This window comes from Homo sapiens, chromosome 6, assembly GCF_000001405.40.
Source record: "Homo sapiens chromosome 6, GRCh38.p14 Primary Assembly".
Classification (NCBI taxonomy): Eukaryota; Metazoa; Chordata; class Mammalia; order Primates; family Hominidae; genus Homo; species Homo sapiens.
The window spans coordinates 7,310,683-7,327,809 of NC_000006.12; the positions used below are offsets into that span (position 1 = coordinate 7,310,683).

At 46.3% G+C, this 17,127-nt stretch overlaps 2 protein-coding genes across 5 annotated transcripts in view, besides 7 other annotated features; both read right to left on the bottom strand.

Moving 5' to 3' along the window:
• Positions 1-2,517, bottom strand: part of SSR1 (signal sequence receptor subunit 1) — a 32,057-nt gene extending 29,540 nt beyond the window's left edge. For all 3 annotated transcript variants that reach the window (NR_120448.2, NM_001292008.2, NM_003144.5), the window contains exon 1: positions 2,360-2,517. Coding sequence is in view for 2 of the 3 variants with exons in the window: in NM_001292008.2 (NP_001278937.1) it covers positions 2,360-2,438 (79 nt within the window). In the remaining variant the exon portion in view is untranslated. The remainder of the gene's footprint in view (positions 1-2,359) is intronic.
• Positions 1,681-2,549: an enhancer, noted in NCBI's record as "H3K27ac hESC enhancer chr6:7312596-7313464 (GRCh37/hg19 assembly coordinates)". NCBI's record gives its function as "activates a minimal SCP1, AML or CMV promoter by ChIP-STARR-seq in naive H9 embryonic stem cells {active_cell/tissue: H9 hESC(naive)}" and the evidence as "EXISTENCE:reporter gene assay evidence [ECO:0000049][PMID:30033119]".
• Positions 1,973-2,022: a silencer, noted in NCBI's record as "silent region_16888". NCBI's record gives its function as "represses an Ori minimal core promoter by ATAC-STARR-seq in GM12878 lymphoblastoid cells {active_cell/tissue: GM12878}" and the evidence as "EXISTENCE:reporter gene assay evidence [ECO:0000049][PMID:35858748]".
• Positions 2,153-2,262: a silencer, noted in NCBI's record as "silent region_16889". NCBI's record gives its function as "represses an Ori minimal core promoter by ATAC-STARR-seq in GM12878 lymphoblastoid cells {active_cell/tissue: GM12878}" and the evidence as "EXISTENCE:reporter gene assay evidence [ECO:0000049][PMID:35858748]".
• Positions 2,550-3,416: an enhancer, noted in NCBI's record as "H3K27ac hESC enhancer chr6:7313465-7314331 (GRCh37/hg19 assembly coordinates)". NCBI's record gives its function as "activates a minimal SCP1, AML or CMV promoter by ChIP-STARR-seq in naive H9 embryonic stem cells {active_cell/tissue: H9 hESC(naive)}" and the evidence as "EXISTENCE:reporter gene assay evidence [ECO:0000049][PMID:30033119]".
• Positions 2,753-2,822: an enhancer, noted in NCBI's record as "active region_23945". NCBI's record gives its function as "activates an Ori minimal core promoter by ATAC-STARR-seq in GM12878 lymphoblastoid cells {active_cell/tissue: GM12878}" and the evidence as "EXISTENCE:reporter gene assay evidence [ECO:0000049][PMID:35858748]".
• Positions 2,833-2,892: an enhancer, noted in NCBI's record as "active region_23946". NCBI's record gives its function as "activates an Ori minimal core promoter by ATAC-STARR-seq in GM12878 lymphoblastoid cells {active_cell/tissue: GM12878}" and the evidence as "EXISTENCE:reporter gene assay evidence [ECO:0000049][PMID:35858748]".
• Positions 13,915-14,024: a silencer, noted in NCBI's record as "silent region_16890". NCBI's record gives its function as "represses an Ori minimal core promoter by ATAC-STARR-seq in GM12878 lymphoblastoid cells {active_cell/tissue: GM12878}" and the evidence as "EXISTENCE:reporter gene assay evidence [ECO:0000049][PMID:35858748]".
• CAGE1 (cancer antigen 1) overlaps positions 15,977-17,127 on the bottom strand; it is a 63,084-nt gene continuing 61,933 nt past the window's right edge. For both annotated transcript variants that reach the window (NM_205864.3, NM_001170692.2), the window contains one exon: positions 15,977-16,217. In NM_205864.3, the coding sequence (NP_995586.1) occupies positions 16,176-16,217 (42 nt within the window). In that variant the 3' untranslated portion in view covers positions 15,977-16,175. The remainder of the gene's footprint in view (positions 16,218-17,127) is intronic.

The window sequence follows — 17,127 nt, forward strand, 5'->3', positions numbered from 1 at the left end:
GGTGAATTACTTGAGGCCAGGAGTTCAAGACCAGCCTGGCCAATACAGAGAAACCCCGCCTCTACTGAAAATGCAAAAATTAGCTGGGTGTGGTGGCACACACCTGTGGTTCCAGCTACTCCAGAGGCTGAGGCAGGAGAATCGCTTGAACCCAGGAGGCAGAAGTTGCAGTGAGCCAAGATTGTACCACTGCACTCCAGCCTGGGCGACACAGCAAGACACCGTCTCAAAAAAATAAAAATAAAAAAATAAAGCATTCTTAAGTTCTAATGTTCTATGTAGGAAACACTGTTATCAGAGGTGACTACAGCTGAAACTCTTAGAACTGGATAGTTTGTAAGCCAAGGAACAAATATCTGTAATCATATCCATGGTAAAAACTGGCTTGCATGAAAAACATTGTTTAGTAAAAACTGTATTGGTAGCTTCAGGTTTGATAGCAAAGAAAGAATCCAATTATTTTTGCATGTGGCTTCAAACATGTTTTAAGATATTTTTTCTCAAACTTAGTGTTACAAAGTACAGGTATAATGCAAAAAAAAGGTGAATCACAGTTTTATAGACAATAGTACTCTAAGTAAGTCACATTATATCTATTTCAGGCAAGACCATAAAAAGAATTTCAAAGTTCTAGTGTCTTCCAACATCTCTCAGAAAAAATGATGATGTGGCAATTCTGTGGATAAAAAACATGGGAAGGGAAGCGTGTTTTCACCCAGGAGAAACAGTTAAGGACCATGCATTTGCAGTCTTTTCCATGTCTTTAAGTTCTCACTGGCTGCTAAGATTTATTGCAAAATATTAAAGAACACTGAACCATGCATTATGAACTAAAGAGATTTCACTGCCTGCTGAACAAAGCCTAAAATAGTGCATTCATAACTTACAAGTCCTTTTCAAAAACCAGTAAGAAAAATACCATGTCTGATATAGTAATTTAAAGTCGTGGTTAAATTTGAGCACTTTGGAATATAAAGGCCTTTCATAAATATTAAACAATTTTATTATTTTAATGTTAACCAATAACAATTTTGTCCCCATGAAGTCTAACAGTCTTCATTCAACTGGAAAAACCAAACACAAAAACCGTTTCTCACAAAAAATGTTTACAAGATATTAATTCAGTTTAGATAATGAATTCATGCTTCTTGAAAGTTTTTATAACTTGAAAATAGTTATAAATAGTTCTAAAACTAAAACTACATTTGTCAAGTTTTCTTTTAAAAAGCTTAAAGAGTACCAGCAAACGACTCCTAAAGTAAAAAATCTTGTTAAACCTGCAGATTAACTCATTAACAGTTGTTTAATTCTCCCACTTGGTTTTCTAGCCATTAAACAGAAGCCAGTCACTTCACTTTTCATCGCAAAACAACTCGTGAATACCTGTCACTACCGTTAAGACACACAGCTTGCTTAAACTTACAGAATGAAAGGGATGCTTAGTCAGACTAATTATTTCACTTTACAAATTAGAAAGTCGAAGTTCACGACAAAACCTGTGCAGGAAGTCAAGTTGCCATATTTTTATATTCTGCTAAGTTATTTTCACACTTAATTGCTGGGTTAATTGTTGAAAGAATAAATCTATGTATTAAAAACACTCGAAGTAGGCCACATTTTTTCAGCACAATACGATGTTTCCACAAACAAAAAATTGTTCCATGGAAAGACAAGAAGAGGAAGAAGGCAGAAGGGAGACATCCCACAGGGATTCTTCAGTCTGCTTGGCAGCAGGGGCGGATAACGGGGGTGACGATGGGGTAGTTTTTCTGAAATCAAGCCTCCTAGTAACACATACGGGTCAAGCAGGGCGTGAACAAGGCAGATGACCATTGAACAAGACACTCTGATGGCTTAGATGTGTAGAAAACAAGGGTTTTGGCAAATGAATGAAGACGGACTCCCGGCGTGGAAGCTAAAGACACGTCAGCCCTGAGCGCGAGGGGCTGGGGGTGGAGCGGAGCCGGAGGTGGCCAAAAGAAACAGCCCGGCTGCGGCGCGCTCGGAGCGCAGCCGTGTCCAGCGCCTCCTCCTGCAGCCGAGGACCCTCCAGTTCTGGCCGCTCCTGCAGGCGAGGGTCCAGGGCAAGAGGAGCAAGCCCAGCCCTCGGCCGGCCACGAAGCAAGGTCGCCCGGGCACGGCCCCGCGCTCCGCGTGCAAGGGGCAGGCCGCAGCGGGGTCTCCAGCGCCCGCGGGGACCCCTGCTGCTACGAGCCTAGGCTTGGGGAGAGGGCGGAGAGAGGCCAGCGGGGTGGACGCGGACCCCAGGACCCGGAGCGGCCACCGCCTCCAACTTCAAACTTGCCATCACTGGCATCTCCTTCCTGGCCATCCCCTCCGCACACTCCCCCAGCCTCACCTCTGGGGCCGCCTCGGAACAAGACAGTGGCAGGGAACACGAGTAAGAGAAGCAGCAGCAAGCGGGGGAGGAGTCTCATGGCGCTGCCGGTCCAGTGTCCAGTTTCCGTCGGCTAAGGCTCTCGGCGGCTCCGGCGGTAATGGCGTTACTCTTCATCCGGGCTCCGGGCAGCGAGGGGCGGGACACGTACCGCGCACGGGCCTTTGCCACGCCCCTCCCTGGACCAGGGACCGCCGCCGACGTGGCTGCTCAGCGCGGAGAGGTGGGGAGAGCAGGCCACCGGGAAGTCACGTGGCCGGCTGCTGCCTCTTTGTGGCTCCCGCGAGAGTCCGCCTTCCGCCGCAGTTGCGACCCGGCAGCTTGCGGTTAGCCGTTCTTTCCGCCCAGTTCTTTACTTCCAATTAATTAGCATTGTCAGTGGTTACTTTATTTGAATGACGATCCTCTTGATAACGGCGATGTAAGGAACATGAGCTGCCTTTATGTGGCACTTAAAAGCAAAAAATTTTGTTGGAAGAGAGGACATTGTTCAAAGGAAAAACCATGAAAATACACAGTGGAAAATCTTTGTCCCCTGTCTGCCCACACCCTCTCCCATGGTTAAGTAATGACAATTCTTAAATTATTATTTTTGAGACGAAGTCTTGCTCTGTCGCCCAGGCCAGAGTTCAGTGGCACCATCTCTGTTCACCGCAACCTCCGCCTCCCGGGTTCAAGCGATTCTCCCGCCTCAGCCTCCTAAGCAGCTGGGACTACAGGCGCGCACCACTACGCCCGGCTAATTTTTGTATTTTTACTGGAGACGGGGGTTTCACCATGTTGGCCAGACTAATCTCAAACTCCTGACCTCAGGTGATCCACCCGCCTGGGTCTCTCAAAGTGCTGGGATTACAGGTGTGAGCCACTGCGCCTGGCCAGCAATTCTTAAATTCGTATGTGACATTCCAGAATTATAAGTCACCTAAACAGTGTTTTGGTATGTAGTCAGCATTTGTAACTATACAATAGGTGCAGCAATGGCTGTCCAGTTTTCTTTAGTTTCCTTTTCATCTATTTTGGATTTGAGTTGCTGGAGTAATATAGCAGTTCATGAAATTAATCTGAATATTAAGTAATCTTGGTCTGGACCAGAGTGAGATGTCATAAAGATGAGGAAATAAATCATATGCTTACTATTGTCAATCACCTCCTTAGAGCTGTGCTTTTTCATTTAATTTTCTAAACCTCTCTATGAGCTGGATATTATTTACTGAGGAGAAAACAGACCCAGAGAGGTTAGTAATTTACTCAAAGCTTCAAAACGCTAGCAAACGGCAGATGCAAGATTTGAACAAGGCTATCTGGTTCCAGATTCCATACACTACTGACCTAGGACATTTGCTGTTCTACTCCTGCATTGTTTCCGCTTCAGGTCTCCTTGTCCTGGGGGCTGTAAATGCAGCTTGGACCCACTGCCACCACTACCTACAGTCTGCTAAAGTCACAGCCTGATGGTGCTGGGCTGAATCAACCAAATTCCACTCTGCCAGGCCACCAGTGGCACCGCTGCTGTGTTGCTGCTGCTACTAGGGCGCCCAGCATAAGTGGAGGGCCTCCTCTCACTTTGCTGCTGCCTCTGCTCCTGTGCACGCTACCAGTGTTGCCACTCTATGTCAGAGCTGTGTCTGGAATAGGGTTCTTGGTCTCACTGACTTTAAGACTGAAACCGCAGACCCTCGTGCTGAGTGTTACAGTTCTTAAAGTCCAGAGTTTGTTCCTTCATCATGTTCGGATGTGTTCCGAGTTTCTTCCTTCTGGTGGGTTCATGGTCTCACTGGCTCAGGAGTGAAGCTACTAGACCATCGCAGTGAGTGTTACAGCTGTTAAGGTGTCCATTCCTCCTGGTGGGTTCATAGTCTCGGTGGCTTTAGGAGTGAAGCTGCAGACCTTCGCGGTGAGTGTTACAGCTCATAAAGGCAGTGAGCAGCAGCAAGATTTATTGCAAAAAACAAAGCTTCTGAGAGGTGACAGCATGCTGGCAGTACTCAGCCCTCGCTCGCTCTCGGCGCCTCCTCTGCCTGGGCCCCCACTTTGGTGGCACTTGAGGAGCTCTTCAGCCCACCGCTGCACTGTGGGAGCCCCTTTCTGGGCTGGCCAAGGCCGGAGCCAGCTCCCTCAGCTTGCCGGGAAGGTGTGGAGAGAGGCGTGGGCGGGCGGGAACTGGGGTTACGCGCGGTGCTTGCCAGCCAGTGCGAGTTCCGGGTGGGCGTGGGCTTGGCGGGCCCTGCAGTGGGAGCGGCCAACTGGGCCAGGCGGGGGGCAGTGAGGGGCTTAGAACCTGGGCCAGCAGCTGCTGTGCTCGATTTCTCACCGGGCCTTAGCTGCCTTCCCGCGGGGCAGGGCTCGGGACCTGCAGCCCACCATGTCTGAGCCTCCCCCAACCCCATGGGCTTCTGTGCAGCCGGAATCTCCCCGACCAGCGCCACCCCCTGCTGCACGGTGCCCAGTTCCTTCCACCACCCAAGGGCTGATCAGTACAGGTGCACAGGCATGGGACTGGCAGACAGCTCCACCTGCAGCCCCAGTACGGGTTCCACGGGGTGAAGCCAGCTGGGCTTCTGAGTCTGGTGGAGACGTGGAGAACCTTTATGTCTAGCTCAGGGATTGTAAACACACCAATCAGCACCCTGTGTCTAGCTCAGGCTTTGTGAATGCACCAATCGACACTTTGTATCTAGCTACTCTGGTGGGACCTTGGAGAACCTTTGCGTCCACGCTCTGTATCTAGCTAATCTAGTGGGGACGTGGAGAACCTTTGTGTCTAGCTCAGGGATTGTAAACGCACCAATCAGTGCCCAGTCAAAACAGGCCACTCGGCTCTACCAATCAGCAGGGTGTGGGTGGGGCCAGATAAGAATAAAAGCAGGCTGCCCTGAGCTTAGCAGCGACAACAGGCTCCAGTTTCTTTCCATGCTGGGAAAATATCTGTTCTTTTGCTCTTTAAGCTCATATTGCCTTTATGAGTTATAACACTCATTATGAAGGTCTGCAGCTTCGCTCCTGAAGCTAGGGAAATCACGAACCCGCCAGGAAGAATGAATAACTCAAGATATGCCACCTTAAGAGCTGTAACGCTCACTGTGGAGGTCTGTGGGTTTACTCTTGGGCTAGTGAGATTACAAGCCCACCAGAAGGAAGAAACTCCGGATACACTGCCTTTAAGAACTGTAGTACTCACTGTGAGGGTCTGTAGCTTCATTCTTTAAGTCAGGGAGGCTAATGAGCCCCCAATTCTGGACACTGGAGTGGGACCTGAGCAGGTTGCCACTGATTCAGGCAGCCTGCTTTTTTTTCCGTTTATTTGGCTTCACATTCTGCTGGTTGGTTTATTTTAGAGCTGATTGGTGTGTTTTCAATTGGTGAGCTAGACACAAAGTTCTCCATGTCCCCACTGGGTTAGCTATACACAGAGTGTCAATTGGTGTGTTCACAAACCCTGGGCTAGACACAGTGCTGATTGGTACATTCACAATCCCTTAGTTAGACATTCTCCAAATCCCCACCAGATTAGAGTGCCAATTGGTGCATTCACAAACCCTGAGCTAGATACAGTGTGCTGATTGGTGTGTTTATAAACCTTGAGTTAGATACAGAGTGCTGATTGGTGTGTTTATAATCCCTCAGCTAGGCAGAAAGATTCTCTAAATCTCCACTAGATTCAGGAGCCCAGCTGGTTTCACCCAGTGGATCCCACACCGGGGCTGCAGGTGGAGCTGCCTGCGAGTCCCGCGCGGTGCGCCAGCACTCCTCAGCCCTTGGGTGGTCGATGGGACTGGGCGCTGTGGAGCTGGGGGTGGCGCTCGTCGGGGAGGCTCAGGCATGGTAGGCTGCAGGTCCCGAGCCTTGCCCCACGGCGGAGCAGGTAAGGCCTAGCGAGACATAGAGCACAGCAGCTGCTGGCCCAGGTGCTAAGCCCTTCACTGCCCGGACCCGCTGGCCGCTCCGAGTGCGGGGCCCGCCAAGCCCACGCCCACCCGGAACTCGCGCTGGCCCACAAGCGCCGCGCGCAGCCCTGGTTCCCGCCCGCGCCTCTCCCTCCACACCTCCCCGCAAGCTGAGGGAGCCGCTTCTGGCCTTGGCCAGCCCAGAAAGGGGCTCCCACAGTGCAGCGGCGGGCTGAAGGGCTCCTCAAGCGCTGCTGGAGTGGGCGCCAAGGCCGAGGAGGCCCCCAGAGCGAGCAAGGACTGCCAGCACGCTGTCCCTGCTTTGAGGTGACTGTACCTTACAGAGTTCTCCACTGACTCAGCATAATCTCCCTCCCCTACTTTGAGGCACCCTTTCATGAGTTTCAAATGAGACCTGCTCTGAGCTTGTTGATGTCTGACAGGTGTTTTGACAAATACATCTTTCTGTTTAACTTGCTACTCTCTCCTAACACCAAAAACAATTGATGGGAACTGTAATAGATGGTGAAGTTACAGACTTCATGCTGTACTCAAAATCACACCTGCTCTCCATCACGGCACCACCGTGTCTTACTGGCTTGCTTTCCCCATTCAGAGGACTGATTACTGAAGGGGACGACGTCTCATTCTTTATGGTAAAGAGATTCCTAGTAGGTCTGTCTCACCGGTTCTCAGATGTTTAGACGTAGCCTGAACATGTAAGGATAATTTAGTTTAGGCTTAACCTGTGACTTCCACTCCAATGATGATGTCATCAATCGATTACTATCGGATTTTATTTGGGACTTGAATTTTACACAACCAGCTACTATTGGTACAACAGGAAAAATAAAGTGTGCCTACTCGAGATATTACTGATGTGATGAATTTAGGGAAAATAACATGTAAACAGAAAACAGAAGACCTGTGTGACTGTCCAATTAGTATTAAAAAATGACAGCTGTGATCAAGGAAGTAAGGGGCTCACCCTGACCAGTGTGCTCACCAATTCTGCATCACTGTGATCCACATTCTTCCCGTAATAAGCAGCTTTTCCTTGGTGCCCACCCAGAGCTCTCTGCCCTACTTGGTTCCAATCCTTAATTTATGGAATTATGAATTCCATTTACTAATTTATTTAAGTCTTTCCAAATCTCTCCCCATGTCTGTACCAATCTCTTTGAAGGGATTTCTTTTCAGGGAATATTCCATATCCTGGTGACTCTCCTTCACAGACCTCAGACAAATCCGTAGTTGATTCTCCACATCTGTCATTTCATTCCCTTAGAATGTGTAAAAGCAGAGGATTCTTTCCCTTTGATTACTTAAGATTTCCCTCCACATCACTCACAAATGTGTTTGTTAAGTACTCGTGTTTGTTCTTTTATACCCCCACCAAGTAACTGTGTGGCCAAGAAACTCCCTCATGTCCTTTATTTTTTTGAGATGGAGTCCTGCTCTGTCACCCAGGTTGGAGTGCAGTGGCACAATCTCGGCTCATGGCAACCTCTGCCTTCTGGGTTCAAGCGATTCTCCTGCCTCAGCTTCCAGAGTAGCTGGGATTACAGGCACCCATCACCACGCCCGGTTAATTTTTGTATTTTTAGTAGAGACGAGGTTTCACCATGTTGGTCAGGCTGGTCTCGAACTCCTAACCTCAAGTGATCCACCCCCCTCCCCTCGGCCTCCCAAAGTGCTGGGATTACAGGTGTAAGACACTGCGTCCAGCCGCTCATGTCCTTTAAATCTTTGCTCAACTGTCACCTTCTCAGTGAGGCTTACCTTGACCTCTGCTTTAAAATTCCAACCCTCCTGCCCCCACATTCTCCATTTCCCTCTGTTCTCCTCTTGTTCATAGTACTGGTTATCTCCTCTCACAATATAGTTCAGCCTGTCTCCTGTTGGTCACCTGTGAACATCTTGTGGCCAGGGAGTTTGTGTCTTAATGTTATAGAAGGGTGCCTGACAACCAGTGTGAACTCAGTAAGTATTTGTTGAATCAATGAAGGTATAGTGTTGTTACAAGTCACATCTTTCCTCCATAAATTTGAACCCAAGTTTGATTGTAAACCTAATAAGAAATGAAAAAACATTGAGTAAAAAACCCCAAAAACATTATGTTTATTATATATAAGCAAACGCTTAAGCATTCTTTCATGTAGCAAGGGCAAAAAAAAAAAAAAAAAAAAAAGAATTAGCTTTTGTGAACTATACCTCCAAGGAAAAAAACTCCTTTATAATCCTTATGAAAAGAGGGCACTATGGGAAAGGAAACAAGAAATAAGAACGACTTTAAAGGGAGTGCTGGCTCTCCAGCCCACCTCCTCACTTAGGAAGGCCTCCAATCCTTCCCCAGCACATACTTCATAGAAAAGAACAGATGAAGTCATAACTACCTGATCAGTCACCACAAGACCCCCCACTTACTTGCATCCTTGTGCTCAGGCTCTGCCTTTTTTTTTTTTTTTTTTTTTTTGTGAGATAGGGTCTGGCTGTGTCTCCCAGGCTGGAGTGCAGTGAAACAGTCATAGCTCATTGTAACCTTGAACTCCTGGGTTCAAGTAAATCCTCCTGCCTCAGCCTCCCAAGTAGCTAAGACTACAGGCACACCACCATGCCCAGCAAATTTTTTTTTTTGTAGAGATGGGGTCTCGCTATGTTGTCCAGGCTGGTCTCCAACTCCTGGCCTCAAGCAATCCTCCCACTTTGGCCTCCCAAAGTGCTGGGATTACAGGTATGAGCCATCAGTCCTTTCAGTTACAATAAAACGATGTTTAGAGGCCCATCAAAGGCCAACCACCATTTGTGGTTTAGATCCCATCTCCTGCTCAAGGACATGAGATTCTGAAAATAGCCCCCTCTTTTCTCCCTCACAATACATTTCTACTTCTCTAATTCATTATTTGAACATCAACAGACAAATATAATATTCCCTGTCTTTAAAAAAAAACTCTCTCGGCCTTGGTTCCCCTTCAGCAATAGTCTAATTTCTCCGCTCCCTGACACAGTAAAGCATCAGTATTTTACCCCTCCATTTTCTTCTCAGTCTATTCCAACTGTGCTCTTATTTTTAACACTTCACTAAAATTTGCTAGGTCTAATGGCCCTCATGTGAGCCTTTCCTCCTCTCATTCTTGAGCACTTGTTTCTCGAGGCTCACCGACATCCATGCTTCTGGTTTTCCTTCCACCTCAGCAACCCCTCCTTCTTCTCTGCTTGGCACCTAAATATAGGCCTGCTAGAATGGGCACACTGTCTACTCTCTGTGTCTACAGGTTCTGTATTCTTGGATTCAACTGACTGCAGATCAAAAATATTGGAAAATAAATAAAAATCAGAACAATAAAGATACAAATAAAAGTATAACAGTTTACATAGCATTGATGCTATGTTAGATATTATAAGTAATCTAGAGCTGATTTAAAGTATATGGAAGGGTGTGTGTAGGTTATGTGCAAATAGTATGTCATTTTTTTTTTTGAGATGGAGTCTCGCTCTGTCGCCCAGGCTGGAGTGCAGTGGCACCATCTTGGCTCACTGCAAGCTCCACCTCCAGGGTTCACCCCATTCTCCTGCCTCAGCCTCCCGAGTAGCTGGGACTACAGGCACCCGCCACCATGCCTGCCTCATTTTTTGTATTTTTAGTAGAGATGGGGTTTCACCGTGTTAGCCAGGATGGTCTCGATCTCCCGACCTTGTGATCGACCCGTCTCGGCCTCCCAAAGTGCTGGGATTACAGGCGTGAGCCACTGCGCCTGGCCAAATAATATGTCATTTTAAGGAACTTCAGCACCCGCAGATTTGGGTATACATTGGGAGTCTTGGAACTGGTCCCCCTCGGATACTGAGGGATAACTGTACTACATAAGGCTGGGAAACTCACCTGCTTATATTCTGTAAGAGGCCTTAGAGGACACTCCATTTACCAAAGCGATGAGAAATGCACTGGTGAGAGGGGCTGAGAAGAACATTGGTCAGCTGTGCTCTGGAGGTCTGGGCTCAGGGCAAGAGATGCCGTAATGGAACTGCACTGACAGCAGTGGGAGTAAGGATGGGAATGGAGGCCAGACGGCATCACCTAATGGTCAGCAACAATGTGGGCACACTGCTCACAATTCTGCAGGGTCAGAATAGGGGAGAGGGGCTGGGGAACGGGCAAGGGGAGTAACCTGTAGAGAGTTATGGTAATAGCTGATAAAACGCCTTCCTAGAGGCAAGACAGATGGGCACCCAACAACAGCATTGTTTAGTTTATACAATTAAATAAATCAAGAGGCCGGGCGCAGTGGCTCACGTCTGTAATCTCAGCACTTTGGGAGGCCAAGGCAGGTGGATCACGAGGTCAGGAGATCGAGACCATCCTGGCCAACATGGTGAAACTCCGTCTATACTAAAAATACAAAAATCAGCCAGGCGTGGTGGCACGTGCCTGTAGTCCCAGCTACTCGGGAGGCTGACGCAGGAGAATTGCTTGAATGTAGGAGGTGGAGGTTGCAGTGAGCTGAGATTGTGCCACTGCACTCCAGCCTGGAGACAGAGCGAGACTCCATCTCAAAAAAGAAAAAAAAGAAAAAAAGAAATCAAGAAAAACCAGGAGGCTGAGGGCAGTCATCCCAATAAAAAGTTTTGATACTGCTGTGGTCTGAATGTGTCCCCTAAAATTCACATGATAATATTATAAGAAGAGGAGCCTTTCGGAGGTGATTAAGTCTTGAAGTCAGAGCCCTCATGAATGAGATCAGCAACCATATAAAAGCTCTGGAGAGAACTAGCTAGGCCCTTTTTGCCAGTCTTGATTTTTTATTATTATTAGTTTTTGAGACGGAGTCTCACTTTGTCACCCAGGCTGGAGTGCAGTGGCACGATCTCAGCTCACCACAACCTCCGCCTCCCAGGTTCAAGTGATTCTTGTGCCTCAGCCTCCTGAGTAGCTGGAATTACAGGCATGCGCCACCATAGCCAGCTAATTGTTGTATTTTTAGTAGAGACGAGGTTTCACCATGTTGGCCATGCTGGTCTTGAACTCCTGACCTCAAGTGATCCACCCACCTCAGCCTCTTGAAGTGCTGGGATTACAGGCACAAGCCACTGCACCCGACCTGCGTTCTTTCTGCCATGTGAGGACACAGCATCCATCACCTCTGGTGGCCACAGCAACAAGGAAGCAGAGAGCAGCCTTTACCAGACTCCGAACCTACTGGCACCTCGATCTCAGATTTCTAAACTCTGAGACTGTGAGAAATAAATTTCTGTTCTTTTTTTGTTTGTTTGAGACAGAGTCTCACTCTGTAGCCAGGCTGGAATGCAGTGGCTCAATCTCGGCTCACTGCAACCTCTGCCTCGCGGGTTCAAGCGATTCTCCTGCCTCAGCCTCCCGAGTAGCTGGGACTACAGGCGTGCGCCACCACGCCCAGCTAATTTTTGTATTTTTAGTAGAGACAGAGTTTCACCATGTTGGCCAGGATGGTCTCCATCTCTTGACCTCGTGATCTGCTTGCCTTGGCCTCCCAAAGTGCTGGGATTACAGGTGTGAGCCACTGCGCCCGTCCTAAATTTCTGTTCTTTATAAGTTACCCAGTCTCAGGTATTTTGTTACAGCAGCAGGAACGAATTTAGACAGCTCCCCTTCCTCCACTGGGCCTGACCCAATTATCAATCCCAGAACTGAAGCAGAAGTCAGGTTCCTATGACAAAGAGCCCTGAAGCACCACCACAACTGCCATTTAGTATTGAATACCACCACTACTCCCCTCCGCAGCCAAAATTAAAAATTAAAAATACAAACCAATCACATCAGTGGGGAATGGTAGAGGTGTGTGTCACCTTCAAAGGGGTGGTGGTCTGTGTTAAATCCCAGTTTAATTTGCCAGCTTGCCCCTGCAAAAACTAGATAGTTCATAGGAGATGACAGCAGAATACTAAAACTTTCCCAGGTAGCAGCCCCGATGCCTCAAGCTCAAACACAGCAGTTGATCACAGTTTGTCCTACCAACCCTTCTCTTGGATGTTCCCCAGGAAGAAGATTGATCAGAATCCTTGGGAAACATGGGGTGGGAGCAGTGACGGACTGCAAATAGGATGGAGGAAATTTGGGGATGGGGTGATGGAAATATTGTAAAACTAGATTGTGGTGATTATTGCATGACTATATAAATTTGCTAAAAATCACTGAATTGTATACTTAAAATAGTTGAATTTTACAGCACATAAATCATCCCTCAATAAAGGGAAGAGTATAGAAAATACATTTATTGGTGGTAATAACTTGTGTATTTATGTACTATAGGTTTTATGCCTCTTCTTCCAGTTACCAACACTCTTTCATTAGGGGATCAAATCCTCCCATCAAACAAGTGGAGACATGCCCAGTGGAGCAGCTTTGCTGTGAAATTTTGAAAATTGAAAACTCTTCTCCCAGCACCTTCTTTGGCCCTTGGCCCCATTTATGATAAGAATCCTCCACTGTATTATAGTGTTGAATTTTTACCATATTGTGCCCACTAGACTTTTATAAAAATATATTCTAATTGTTCTTCATGCACATTTAACCTTGCTAAATACAGGATGATCTTTGTCCAGTTTCACACCTTACCCCTAAGGTGCAATCATAATTCATACTAATTCCCAAAGTCCTTTGCAGTTTTTTTCAGACTGGATCTGCTAGATTTGAATTATATAGGCGGCTCACTCTTACCAAGAGTTGCATTTATATAGGCGAATGTTAACGATCTTTGAAAGATAGAACATAATATACAAAACATTTATATCCTTAAACAATATTAGCACAGTCCTGTAACTCTTCTTAAACTAGAGTGACTATGAACTTAGTTTCCTAAAACAGATGTTATGGAGGAGCCAGGGTTTGAATCTGAATCTTATGATTCCCTGTCGAGTGCTCTTTTTCCTATTCCGTACTATCTCTCCTGCATTATAATTTAGGGAAGAATGTGCTAAGTGCCATTAAAAAGTCAGATAAAACAGACGAAAGAGGCATTTCAGATGAGGATGAGGGTGAGATCTGAATTAGATCTCAAAGGGTACAAATGTTTTAAATATGAGGTACTGCATGGTGGATGTGAAGAAAGGAGAGCTTTTAGTGGGCAAGGAAAGTGCATTCCCAAAAAAGGAAACAATATGGGGAAAGGCACAGAAGTTTGGGCCCAGAGCATGGAAGGCAATGAACACTGACTATGGAGTAAGGATTTGAAAACCTGTCCATAAAATATATTTAAGTGAATTATGACACATATCCATGAAATATTATACAGCCTTCAAAAATCAGAGTTATGAAGACTGGAGATACAGGAAAATAGCTATCAGAAACACTATGAGTTCAGATAACCTACTTAGGATAGTGTGTGAAAGTGCCTTGTAAACTGCAAATAACAATTTTTGGAAGGTTTATCATGGGGAGTGAAAAGAGAGGAACCATGATAGCTTTAGAAAAGAAAAGGGTTGCAGGAAGGATATTTTTTAAAGGCTAGGGTAGGGTTCAATGAAGAGTTATAAAGGAAGGTGTGAGAAGATACAAATGATTGCCGGAGCAAATCCTCAAGGAGATACGATGGGTCAGAGTCAAGAGGACAAGAGACCAAACAGACCAGAGGAAAAAAGAGGAAAGTGCGTAAGTCCACAGACGGGAGAGGAAACTGCGTCCCCATGCAATCTCCTGTGGTGAGAGCCAAAGCTTTACTCTGTGAAGGCAGAAGCTGTGGCTATTTCCAACTTTCACTTCTCTCTTCCGTCCCCCTACTACAAGAAGAGAGTGACACTCCCGGCCATGAGCTCCCTCAACTTACTACACCACGGCTTATGTTTGCCCTGAACATGCCTGTCCTGATTTCAGAGGAAGAGCTGTCCCTGTCCCTAGGCTGTGCTGTGGAGCCTAGTCTCTCTTTTCTCCTCTGACATCTTGCTTCATCAATGATCCCTCTCTCTCCTTGATCTTCAGTCTCTTCCCTGATCACTTCTCAGCATATACATAACTGCTTATGAAATACCTCCACTCAAGATGCTTCACAGCTACCTCAAACTCAGGGTATCTCTCCTTACAAACCAGCTATCCCTCTGGTCTTCTCTACATCGTTCATCCAGAGCTCTTCTAGGCTTCCTAGACCCTTCTCTCTCCACTCCCACAGCTAACTAATAACCCCATCCTTTCCATGACAACAATAATAATAGCTTTTATTTATTCACCACTTCCTTCAGGACCAGATATATACTCTACATATATTTTCATCTCGTATTTATCTAATTTAAGTGCAAAACTAACTTTAGTGAGATAAAATAGTTTTTCTCTTCCACCTAAGGGGTGTGTGTGTGTATATATATATATTTTTATATGTATATATTATATATATATATATATATATATAATTTTTATTTTTTTTTTTTTTGAGATAGGGTCTCACTCTGTTGCCCAGGCTGGAGTGCAGTGGTGAGATCTCAGTTCACTGCAGTCTCTGCCTCCCAGGTTCAAGCAATTCTCTGGCCTCAGCCTCCAGAGTAGCTGGGACTACAGGCACTCACCACCATGCCCGGCTAATTTTAGTATTTTTTTTTAGTAGAAACAGGGTTTCAACATGTTGGCCAGGCTGGTCTCGAACTCCTGACCTCAAGTGATCCACCTGCCTCGACCTCCCAAGGTGCTGGGATTACAGGCGTGAGCCACCGTGCCCAGCCGTAAGGCATATTTTGATCAATAGCTATACCTCCAGTCCGGTTCTGGGATTTATCAAAAGGATAATATGTATGTTATATACATTTATTTTTCTAGTGCATCTCACAAAATCAGCTCTCTCTGGCTCCTTTGTTTAAATTCGGAACTAATTCCTCAAAACTATGTGAAAGTGGAAATTATAAGGGTTAGGTCTTAAGAGACCAGTCCTTTCCTTTCATCTGGGTTTTTCTGTTTTGAGACAGGGTTTCACTCTGTTGCCTAGGCTAGAGTGCGGTGTATGATCATGGCTCACTGCAGCCTCCTCCTGGGCTCAGGCCGTCCTCCTGCCTTAGCAACCTCCCATCCCCACCCCCTTATACCACACTCCCCTCCCCTGCCACCCAGTAAGCTGGGACAACAAGTGCTTGCCAGCATACCTGGCTAATGTTTCTGATTTTTAGTAGAGATGAGCTCTTCCTATGTTGCCCAGGCTCTTTATTTATTTATTTATTTTATTTGAGACAGAGTCTTGCTCTGTCGCCCAGGCTGGAGTGCAGTGGCACGATCTGGGCTCACTGCAAGCTCCGCCTCCCGGGTTCACACCATTCTCCTGCCTCAGCCTCCCGAGTAGCTGGGACTACAGGTGCCCCCGCCACCACACCTGGCTAAGTTTTTGTATTTTTAGTAGAGACGGGGTTTCACCATGTTAGCCAGGATGGTCTCGATCTCCTGACCTCATGATCCACCCGCCTCGGCCTCCCAAACTGCTGGGATTACAGGCATGAGCCACCGCGCCTGGCCACCCAGGCTCTTTTATCTGCGTTATAATTCCAAAGGATTTCAGAGTTGGTGTCTTTTAAAATTTGGTTGGTATTATGAAGAATCTGCCTGCCTGGACAGAAAAAGGATGTCCTGCAGAGGAAATAAAAAGTTGAAGTGAAATCCATGACTATTTTTGTGCATCATTAAAGGCCTGATAATATGGGAGTGGTATTCTGTGAGAATATTTGGTCAAAAAACCACTGTATTCTTCTGTTTATGTTAAATAGAATATATTTGATTATTCACAGGAAGAAATTAGAAGAAAAGTAATCACATCTTTGGAATGTAAGACTTTACCCTTTATACAGATTTTAATATATCATCTGCATGGATTGATTTGGCTAGCATATGTAGTAATGACTCTTCCTGGAGTGGTTGACAAAAATGATTACTGTTTAATCTTCAGGCTTGTTTAATCTAAATCATTTCTATTTTCTTTAAAAAGAGCTGGCATCTAAAAATGAAAGGAAAAATGTTTCGTAAGTTTTGGGGAAAGACTAACATTCAGTGACAGAACCCCTAAACAGCCAATTTTTTATTACATATGGAAAAGGGGTGCAAAGTAAGCCTATAGATAGATGAATTCCACAGATAATACCAACACTATATTTTGTTTGTTTGTTTTGAGACAGAGTCTCACTCTGTTACCCAGGCTGCAGTGCAGTGGTACAATCTCGGCTCACTGCAAGCTCTGCCTCCCAGGTTCAAGCGATTCTCCTGCCTCTGCCTCCCAAGTAGCTGGGATTATAGACACTCAACACCATGCCCGGCTATTTTTTGTATTTTCAGTAGAGACGGGGTTTCACCATGATGGCCAGGCTAGTCTCGAACCCCTGACCTCAAGTGATCTGTCCACCTCAGCCTCCCAAAGTGCTAGGATTATATTTTTGATAGAGATGGGGTTTTGCCATGTTGTCCAGGCTGGTCTCGAACTCCTGACCTCAAGTGATCCACCTGCCTCAGCTGTGAGCTCAGGTGTGAGCCACCACACCTGGCCCCCAACACTATATTTTAACTGATATTTTTGTTTGTTTGTTTCAACCTTTTTCCCACTAAGGAACACCATGAAGAACAATGTGGATTGAGTTTCATCTTCCTTGGTTTGGTTGGCAATTGACAGATGTAGAAAAAGGAATAGAAGCAAGAATCTGAATAATCCAAAAGTGATTTAGCAGCATGGCATAGTTAAAAATTGATAGTATTGGCTGAGCGCGGTGGCTCACGCCTGTAATCCCAGCACTTTGGGAGGCTGAGGCAGGCGGACCACCTGAGGTCAGGAGTTTGAGACCAGCCTGACCAACATGGAGAAACCCCGTCTCTACTAAAAATACAAAATTAGCTAGGCGTGGTGGTACCTGCCTGTA